This window comes from Homo sapiens, chromosome 4, assembly GCF_000001405.40.
Source record: "Homo sapiens chromosome 4, GRCh38.p14 Primary Assembly".
NCBI lineage: Eukaryota > Metazoa > Chordata > Mammalia > Primates > Hominidae > Homo > Homo sapiens.
In genome coordinates, this window is record NC_000004.12 from 166500147 (window position 1) to 166511108 (window position 10962).

At 37.1% G+C, this 10962-nt stretch overlaps 2 annotated features.

The window, feature by feature from the left end:
* Positions 1811-2105: an enhancer, noted in NCBI's record as "tiled region #523; HepG2 Activating non-DNase unmatched - State 12:CtcfO, and K562 Activating non-DNase unmatched - State 13:Ctcf". NCBI's record gives its function as "activates a minimal TATA promoter and a strong SV40 promoter by Sharpr-MPRA in HepG2 and K562 cells {active_cell/tissue: HepG2 | K562}" and the evidence as "EXISTENCE:reporter gene assay evidence [ECO:0000049][PMID:27701403]".
* Positions 4415-4584: an enhancer, noted in NCBI's record as "experimental_76035 CRE fragment used in MPRA reporter constructs". NCBI's record gives its function as "activates a minimal promoter by MPRAs in K562 erythroleukemia cells, with activity observed for both the introgressed and non-introgressed 4:167425798 variant alleles {active_cell/tissue: K562}" and the evidence as "EXISTENCE:reporter gene assay evidence [ECO:0000049][PMID:34662402]".

Consider the following 10962-nt stretch of genomic DNA (forward strand, 5'->3'; position numbering starts at 1 on the left):
AACCCAAAAATCTAAGAGATCAAATTATGGAATTATTCCCTCTTCCTGAGAACACCCAGTTCAGAGAAAACCTCTGCTTCCTGCAGCCCTCAAAAAATCATTCACAACAAGCCATAATCCTTTAACAATTCCCACTTAATGCTTTTTGCAGAGGCCTTCATTGCTGCACTGTAGATATGTTCCTGGTGGTCTATAGCCAGACATTTTATTTGTTTACTCCATGCATTTTATGAACTTCAGCTGTCTTTCAGAAACACTGAAACTTTGACACCATGTATCTTTAAGCAAAACATCAAAAATCCTGCAATTAATATTTTTCTACAACTTTATTTGCAGAGCCTGACAAATAATTCTGCAGACACACTTCTTTAAAGAAATTTTTGAATTTTTTTTTTTTACTCAATAACAAGGGAAGGAAAAAAGAGGAGCCATTTAAACAATTGTAAGTAAAAGACAAAGGAGGAAGTCTGCTTTAGATATTGGACATCTTTATAATGAATAATGTAATTAAACAGGTTGAAATGCAGTAGATGTGGGGAAGTGGCAGTGGTGGTGAAGCCTGAAGTAAGCAGGGATTATCTCATGAGAAGCCTTGGAAACCATGCTACAGTTTTTACACATTATTCCACACAGAATGCCAAATAGCTGAAAATTGTTAAGCTAGGGAAAGACACAATGAGGTGTGAATTTTTAAAGCGTCTCTTTGGGGCTAGCATCCATAATGGAACAATATTGGAGAGATGAAGGTCATTAGGAGGCAGCTGAGTTGAGGAATGCTTGTGTTTATGCAGGGACAGAGGAGATAGAAGGGAGTATACACACCTAATATTAAGGGGTAGAAATGCTAGGGCTGTAAGAATGTTTTTGAATGGGAGAGGTGGAGGAATAAAGAATCACATAAAAGTTATATATTAGGGAATAGAGAAGACGATACTCTGGAAAGCTATGAAGGGAAGTACATTTGGAGACAGAAGTTCAGTTTTAGATGCGGAAGTAGAAGTGCCAGAGGCATTTGAGAGGAGGGTCTAAGAGTCAGTTGAATATATGGGTCAAGAGCTCAGTAGAGATGTCTCTGCTGAGGGTAGAGATTTGGGAATGAGCAGCACTTAGATAATAACTCAAGTCGAAAGAGTAACTGTGGTTGCCCAAGGAGAGTGTACATAGGCACCTTGAACTCTAATGCTGCAGGACCCAGGAAAAAAACATAGACATATAAATTCAGTCTCCATATGAATGCATAGAGAGTGGAAGAAAAAACAAAGAGTGCATGCCCTTCCAAGAGATTGTTAAGAAAAAAAAATGAATTGCATGTAATCTGGAAAAGACCAAAAAAAAAAAAAAAAAAAGGAACCAAGGGGGAAAGGACAGGATAGTTTTTAGGGCACCACTCTGAAGAATGTTCACACTTTCATAATAGGTTGATAAAATGGAACATAAAACGTGGGTAGGAAATAGAGGGAGAAGAGAAAGCCATGAGAGCGTGGTGCCACAGAAACGATGAAGGATAGTATTTTAAGGAAGAAGAAATGCCAGTAGTGCCCAATGCTGGGACCCTCTTAAATAAGTTATGGCTTTAAAAGGTCACGTTAGCCTTAGTGATGACAACGTGGTTTGGGCTGATTGGCATGAAGAGCTTCTGAGAAGCAGTGTCTTTAGAATTTGTTGTTAGGTTGAGGATTTAAAGGGATAAACGGACGAAAGACAAAGTCAGCAACTGTAGTCAATCTATTCAGTGTTCGTTTGAATAACAGTATATAACATATAATAATATACAGAGATATTGAAAAATAAACTATGCTCACAAACTGTTTGATACCCTTACTTTGCAGAAATAGAACCCAATCCTCTCATTTGCGCTTACGCGCCTTCTACTGCAGTCCAATAGATGGCGCTTAAGAGCGATAGCCGGCTCACCCTCAGGCAGGCTGATGACCAGCGGAAGCATACTAGGTGATGCAAGCAGTGGCAGGATGAGATTCTGTTGAGGTGTGCGCTGAGGCCTCGGGGGAAGGGGAGCTAAAGGGGTAGCACCCGTTCCTCATCCTGAGCCGGCAGGAACACGGTCTGCTTCCCTATCATGCCCCTGTTGCAGGGCTCATGACCTTCAGTTCATAAAGACTTTGTCCTTTGTTTCCCAGCCACAGTGCGGATAGGCCCAAACTCTGTCACTGGTCTGTCCTGCATTGCTACTGCTCTGTGTAGGAAGTGGGAGTTGAGCCCAAACCTTTATATAAAGGCTCGCTTTCAGCGGGGGTGGGGCAGCTACGAAAAGTGAAGGAGAACTCTCTAGGTGCACATGCGCCAGACCCCAGGGTAAAGAACCACTGCTGCAACCTCAACAGAGGATGGGGTGGGGCAGGAGAGCACCCCCTCTCCACGTCTGTTCCCAGGCATCAGTGCTGCCCCCTTCAGTGATTGGCTCTGCACCCACGTTTTCTTTGTCCCAAGAGGGATTCTCTCAGGGTTTGTTCCCCTCTCCCTGAGGGGTGGTCCACACCCAGGTTTGTATTACTCAGTGACCCGCTAGTCCCCTGTGCATGCCAGAGTCAGACTCAGTTGTGAGGTGTGTTTGGGAGGGATCTGGTGGTGCGGTGACTCAACGGCAGAAGATCCCTGCGCAGAGCAGTGGCCCACTGTGAATGCACCACCAGTATGGCGCCTGCCATCTGGGTTCAGGCCTGGGAGGAGTGTAGCCTGCCTGCATGAGCTGGCCACACGGTTCTGCATCTCCGGCAAGTTCCCAAATCGTTACAGATAGCATTGCCTTGGGTTATGAGGGCAGAGGGGCTTCCCCACAGTGTTAGCAGTCAGCAGATTGCCGCAGGGGTGAGGGGAGCAGCAGAGAGGCACTCCTACTAACCCTTTCCATGGGGCTCTGAGTTCCCTGGGAGTCAATCCCTGCAGACTCCTGCAGCTTTCCTTTTCTGCATCGCATCTTTTCCCATAGGCACTCCAACAGGCCCTGGCTTTCTTCCCTCAGTTTTCCATTTGGAACTTGTCCATTCACTAGTAACATTTATCTTCTTTATGGAGATAATTGGCAATCAATGGGTCTAGTCAGACATCTTGAAAAACAACCTTCTATGTTGTTGGAATTTTATGGTCTCACAATGTGAATGGGTACAGTAGTCGTGTTAAGTATTCTGGAGTCGTGATATCTATTGTGAATGCCGTGTCTTTTGTCAGATCTGAAAAATGTTCTCAGTATTTCTTTGAAAGTTGCCTGTACCTTTTGTTTTTATTCTTTCTATAACTTACATTGCATATACACTAGACATTATTATTCTATTCTCCATCTCTCAATCCCTTTTCCATTTATTCCATTTTGATCACACTCTGTGTTTCATTCTCAGCAAATAATCAGTTCTAGGGGACATTTATTCTTTTCTTTGCCATATCTTAACTGTTATTTAAACCATCCACTTATGTTATCATTTCAATGGCTGTTGTTAGTATCAAGATTTTATTTTTCAAATCTGTTCTTTTAAAAATACTGTCATCCTCTCCTTATATCTTCCATTTTTACAATTTTGTTTTTATCATCATAAATATTATTTTCTAATCTTCAATTTTTCTGTTACCTGAAATTTAGATTAGTTCATTATATGTGATGCATTTTGTTTATGGGAGATTATTTTTAGTTTGTTATTTTGATTTCAAATCATCCTGTTTTTGAATCTTATGTGACCTGGATTGAGGGTGTACCTGTCCACATCAGTTTGACATTTGCTTTTGCCAAGTGTCCAAGGCTCTCTCCGCCTTAGGACTAATGTGTTATTTATTCAGTGTAGAGTCCTGAGCTACTCAATAACATGCATTTACATCACAGACTGATTGAGGGCATAACTGTGATTCTGAAATGTTAAGGATCCCAAGTTAAGAAAGACATATTTCCATTACATCTACCTCTTCGAAGACACTAATTTATTTATTTATTTTTCTGGAACACATGTTACTGAGGATGTATCCAGTTTTATATAGAAGACTGAATTACAATTCCACACAGACATCACTTTGTAGTTGATTTCTTCAGATTTATCTTATTTTCTTCTAAACTCGTCCTTACATTTAAAGACATAACAGTTTTTCGAGTATTTTAAAGTATTTTTTAGTGAGAGGGTTTTTGGATTACGTAGTCCATGGAATGTAGTTCATGGAACAAACAGAAATTTCATGACTTAATTGTTGAAGTAATCCTCTTTCATTGAATACTCGCAATTTGGAAAAATCTATGTTGCATAATCAATTTAGTGTTCTATACTTTGCTTATTGAGCTTCCTTCAGTGATTTATGTTTCTTTACTTATTCATGGTTTTATGTTCCTCTCAAACCTCTACAGATAAAGGTATCAGACTCTCTAGAATAGAGGCAGACAAGAACAAGTAGAACATACTAAATTTTCTGATGTTGAAAACTGCTGTAGAAGAATTGACGATCCATTACCTTTGTACTGAAGAATAGAGTGGATTTCTTTCTGTCTCTAGGACTTACTGTGTGAGTTATTGTCCTTTCTTCTCCCCAGGTACTAAAATGAAACTAACTCCACCACTGAAATTTTCCTTCAGGCCCACCAGGGTTGTAGGTTTGGGCCAACTTCTGATAATCACAAGCAAAATGTAGAAAATGAGGTTCTTCTCAACATGATTTACACACCAAGTTATGGAATTTATTTTTAGGAAAGGAGGTGTAAACCAAGTCAGGGCTGTTCAAGATGCCAATACTACAGAACTTGAAAATTTTTTCACAGTAAGAAAATAATGGAATTCTTTTATATTTTGGCTTCAACATATAGAGATTCTCAGAATCAACGGCCACTACAGAATAAGATGCCATCTACAAATAGGAATGAACAAATGGCAAACTAAGACATTAGATTATTTGGCTGGTCACGGTGGCTTGTGCCTGTAATACCATCACTTTGGGAGGTTGAGGTGGGTGGATTACCTGAGATCAGGGGTTCGAGACCAGCCTGGCCAACATGGTGAAACCCCGTCTCTACTAAAAATACAAAAGTTAGCTGGGCATGGTGGCAGATGCCTGTAATCCCAGCTACTCGGGAGTCTGAGGCAGGAGAATCGCGTGAACCAGGGAGGCGGAGGTTACAGTGAGCTGAGATCGCACCATTGCACTCCAGCCTGGGTGACAAGAGCAAAACTCCATCTCAAAATAATAATAATAATAACAATAATAATAAATAAAATTGAAATATAATCATGTAAATGTTAACAAATATAAAAACAATTACTTCTTTCAACAAATAAAAAGACTAACACAATTTTGAAGCTACTGAGGATTTCCATTGATTTCTGTTAATGAGTATTCCTTCTTTCTTGCGTTCCACTGCATTTAATCAGTTAGAAAAGGCAAGTCTGCTTATTTTCAAAATCCTCATTTCCCAATGGTAAATTGAAAACCTAGAAAACAATTATGGAAGAAGTGGCAGAGTGAAATGCAATAGTCACTCATGCTATTTAAAGTTTTCCTGAAGATCCATTTTCAATTGCTTCTTTCTCATTTAAATGCTTTGTACATATGTACTCAAAAACCTGTGGTCTAGAATTTGAAAACTTGTTTTGACCAATGTATAAAGTGTCTCCTTAAAATATCACACTAAAGAACAGAGTTCTAGAGAGTACATAAAAATACTCTTTCTTTTCGGTCTTCTAATTTTTGCAATCTAATGTTTGGATCAAAATCAAAGATAATTTATGTAGTACAGTAAATCAAATTTGATTGATCATTATTATTTTATGTATCTGAGGGGAAATTTCAGCAACTGGTTCATAAATAGAGTGGCTAAATAGAGTTTTATGTCTACATATTTGGAAAAAAAGAAAAAAATGAAGTCACCTCAATTTAATCATATTATGCCTTTATTTTGAGAAAGATTTGCTTTGCTTGTTTTAAATTAGGACACAGAAGAGAAAGAGTGTAATAATGCCTTTCAGATAAGTAAAAAGAATGGTGCGTTCTTGTGTTGCCATCTCTGTTTAGCATCAATGAAGCTACAGGCTCAGCAGCATAAAAGCAATTGTCTCTTTAACAGCGAAATCTTATTTGTGCACAGCATTAGCAATAGCCCCAAGGCAACAATGAAGATGTTTTCAAAGTATTGCTTGGGAATTTGTCAGTGATTCTCATTGACATTAATGGGAGTTTTATAGGCAGTTTTACTCCCTTCACTTTGAAATGTGTAAGAGAGAGTTTCTGCAAGTGTTTTGTGCAGTCTTCTTACAAATTTCAGGAAGAAATGCTTTCAACTACGAATGTGTCTAAAACATGTTGAAATAACTGTTGATCTGGGGGACAAAATCAACTATAAATCTTGGTATCCACTTTAACCAAAGTGGTTATTTCAGTTTTTAATAGCGGACATTTTATCCTTCCTCTCCCTTTCAAATTTTAGCTTTTTATAATGGATAATACATTTGTAGTTGGTATGAATTGATAACACTTGTAAGAGAACCGATCTACTTGCACCATGTAACTGGACATAACACATGAAAATGCAATACCAAAATGTTTATTTTTACAGTGGTGAGCAATGATATTAGTTATCCATTTACTTATTTATAATGCTTAGCACTTCACCAGACACAGTGAATATAAAGGTGGTAAAAAATCATGGAGCTATTACTAAAATTAAAAGAAATCAAATACTCATAACAGAAGGGCTTGTAAAATCATAATACGAAAAGCACCATGAAGAGACACATACATAATAAGAGGAATAATAGGGAGGTCCAGGAAGGATCTGGAAAGAATAATCCTTCAGCTGAGTTTTAAATGATGAGTTGGTGTTATGGTAATAGAGGGATGAGGAAAACCATTTCCCAAAGAGGGGATATCAAGTGAAAAACAGTTCTGTGATAGAAAGGATTATAGCAACTACCTGAAATTTTTAATAGGACACTGTGGCTTGAGTGGGCAAGGGTAGGAAGCCATGACCCATAAAGAGGCAGGGATGGTAGCAGAGATCAGACTGTAGAGATTTTAGTAGATGATGTTAGAGAACTTGGTTATTAGGTGGGAGAGTGTGTGTGAGAATGAAGGGGGAAGAGCCCCTTATAAAACCATCAGATCTTTTAAGAACTCACTTACTATCATGAGAACAGCATGGGGGAAACGGAAACGGCTCCCATGATCCAAGCACCTCCCACCTGATCCTCACCTGACATGTGGGGCTTATGGAGATTACAAATCGAAATGAGATTTAGGTGGAGACACAGAGCCAAACCGCATGAATTGTCAATGCTAATAAATCATTAAGTAATAAAAGGGTTAAATTATATATAAATATATAGGTGGCTAGACAAATACAGATATAAGTGTATATTAAATTTAGCAAAAGAGAAAGAGCAATGGTGATATTGGAAAAGGTATTTGCATTTGTAAGATCAGAAAAAATCATCTCAATCATTGGCTATGAATTGAGAAAGATTAGCAAACCAAAAGTTGGAAGGATCAAAGTCTAGAGGATTGTGTGTACTGTATTTGATTCAGAAGACAGTTCTTTGAGTATGTGTAAATACTGATTATTATAATTCAGTACAGAAAAGCAATCGGAGATCCAAGGGAGTTCAGAGATAGTGAATAGAGTAAGTCACAAGGAAGGGCAGAAGGATTTGCTTTTTTAAAAAAGATGGAAACTGACTTCCACTACACTTAATGACAGGGAAGAGGGAAACTAAGAGCCAGGTAAATTGACAGATTTGTCAAAGAAAAAGTTTTGTCCCAAGCATAACAAATGAGTATATTTTGTATCCTGAACCTTTGCAGCCTACAACAATCTTTAATAATGGCATGTTTAAAATTAGAACTATATTATTGCTTGGTCCTCTACCTCTGTTTTCTGTCTGATTCCATTTTATGTTTTCCTGTTAGTTGACTGTATTGTGCACTAATGCTAAGGTGTGAAACTTTTAAATTCTAACTTCATATACAGATATATCTTTAACGTTTGCTTTTTCTATATGCTGTTATTATTCTGATAGAAGATATTGATGTCATCTTGAAGCATGTTACCAGTCTTTTCAATAACTTTTATGGATATATAAAATATATTCTCTCTTTCTCATACACACATACATGCATTCTTTTAAACTAGATAACTAAAACAAAACTTTCTTCCTGAAAAACAAAACTAGCCACTTATAAAAGTGAAATGTTGCCTACCCTCTCTGAAATGGTACCCTATTTTCATATTCTCTGAAATGACAAAATTTTTGTCATGATTTTGATTTCTTTGCTGCAAGTTAATAAAATTTGATAAATGTTTCTGACAAATTTGTCTATGAAATGTTGTTTTAACCAATTTTGTGATTGAAAAGTAAGTAAGATGCTATCTAACATTATCGATGAAGCCTGGGTGGGAGGTCATTTACTGTGGAATATAGAGTTGATGTTTTAAAAAAGTAAAGGATATTTTAAATAACCCCTGGGAAAGTGAACTGGCCAAGGAAAATGGGAGAGATTGTGGGTTAGCATTAAGATACACTTGATATTGGAGATTATAAATCTTATTTTATTTTACTGCCCAAGCTTTCAAATATTGCAATTATGCAACCCTTAATCTGTGGGAAACTTTAAAAGTCCATATACCTTGTGAGGTATTCTTATATCTAAATTGAAATGTTCCTACTGGGATAGCAATATGTTTTTGTCTGTTTCTTCTTTGATAAAGGGTAATATATTTCTACTTGCCTCCTACTGATGGATTTTTATTTGTACCCCAAAACTAAGATTGTTAGCATTTGGATTTCTCCCCTTTAGATAAAATAGTTTGTTTTAACCCATTTTCTTCTTTGTCCTTTACTTTAATGTCAGTATCAAATTATTGCTTGGTACTTTCAATGGCAAAATTAAATTACCAAACTTTCCACAAGATTTCATCTCTTTTTAAGAAATAGGTGTGCCATGTTTTCCCTCTTTCCACTATCTGTGAACAGAAGCTTTGTAAGCAATTGGGTAAAGGCACCAGGAGAAGTGAAGCATCAGATAAAATCATAGTGTACTTTTTGGAGATATGGCAGGCATATGGAAGACTGTTATACAATAAGTAAAATATTTCATGATGAGGAAAACTTTAAAAAGAGAATATGCAAGAATTATAAGGAGAAATAAATCTTAAAGATAAGCTAGAAAAGAAAGGAATGTTAAAGACTACTGTTACCTTTTCAACTAAAGTATGTATTTTTTCTTATGTCAGTATATACAAATATCAGAAAACAACACCAATTCAGCCATGATCTAACTTCTCACTTAATTGTTATTATACTAGAAGATTTTATTTTATTGTCATTATGTTCTCAAGGTTGGGGCAACAGAAGTTCCCCAAGTGAGTTTCCCAATAGGACAGCAGATGATGTAACTCAACTAGCATTTAAATGACCATAGTGGTCTACCACTTACCAAATCTGTGACTTCTAGGGGGCTGCTCAACTTCTTACCCTCAGTATCTTCCTCTGAAAATAAGAATAATTTATTCTTCAAAAGAATTTGTGAAAAGTAAATGACTAGTATATGAAAATTATGGAGTCAATTTTCTGACACATAAAATGAATTAAATAAATAATAGTTTCTTTTCCTCTTCAGGGTTTCAGCTAAACTTAGTGAACTAACTTTGGGCTTTTGATAGATATTCGTAATCATGCCAATCCAATAGTTTAACAATCTTCTAAATTCCTCTAGGAATCCTGGAATCCCAAAAAGATTTAAACTTTACTGCCTCAAAACTTTAAAGACATAGCCTTTAAAAAATGTAAACCTATTTCTCATGGAACAAATATCATGATCAAAAAAATTTAGATTTGGAAAGTACTTTGAATCCTGGGTAGCTCAACCTTCCATACAATGTAATGTTTTCTAAAGACTGCCAGCCAGGGTCTATTTGGATATTTCATTGATAAGGAATTCATTCTGGGAGGTTTTTTCAAGATATTTGACACCTTTAATTATTATTACTATTATTATTTCAATGTAAGCACACAGTTTGCTTAGCCACACTAATACCAAAAACCTCTCTTCCCCTAGAGTGGACAGAAGCTTAAATTTTACCACAGGTCTTTTACATAGCCTTTGCTGAACTGTTTGGAATCTGTGTCATGCACTGGTGCTTCAGATAACTGGACAAAACTTATACGTACAATTTGACAGTACCCTTGTCTGGCTTTTTCCAGTCTGGAATTCCACTTCTCTCATTTTCTACTAACTGCAGTTTCCCTAGTCCCCATTGTGGTAGGCAGAATAATGACTTTCCCCACCTAAGACCTCTATATCCTGATCCCCAGAACCTGTATATGTTACCTTACATGGCAAAAGGGACTTCAAAGATGTGACAAAGGTTATGGATCTTGAGATGGAGAGATTATTCTGGATTTTCTGAGTAGGCTTAGTCTAATCACATGAATCCTTAAAACCAGAAAACCATTTTGGCTTTGGTCAGAGAGAGATGTAATAAAGGGTCAGAGAATTAATCCATTGCTAGTTGTGTAGGTACAGGACACATCCATAAGCGAAGGAATAGGAATGGCTTCTAGAACTGGTAAAGGCAAGGAAGTGGATCCTCCCCCAGATCTTTAATAAAGAAACATAGCCCTGCCCTCACCTTGATGTTAGCCCAGTGAAATCGTGTCAAGTTTCCAACCTAAAGAACTGTAATAAGATTCATTTTCATTGTTTTAATCCACTAAGCTTTTGGTAATTTGTTGTGGTAACAACAGAAGGCTAACATACCCAGCTTCTAGTTTTTCAAGCCAGTAGGACTGTGAGTTTTCCATCTGAGTAGCTCTGCTTGGGAAGTCTAGAGTCTGCCCCAGGCTAGTTAGTATGCTGTCTTCTTTCAATAGTCAATCCTGTATAAGTTCTATCTTCTTTGGTTCATTCTATTTTTGCTCACTCTTCAGTGTCTTCAGATAGTTGATTTTATAATTTATGTAGAATTTAAAGTTGTTTTATGCCAGA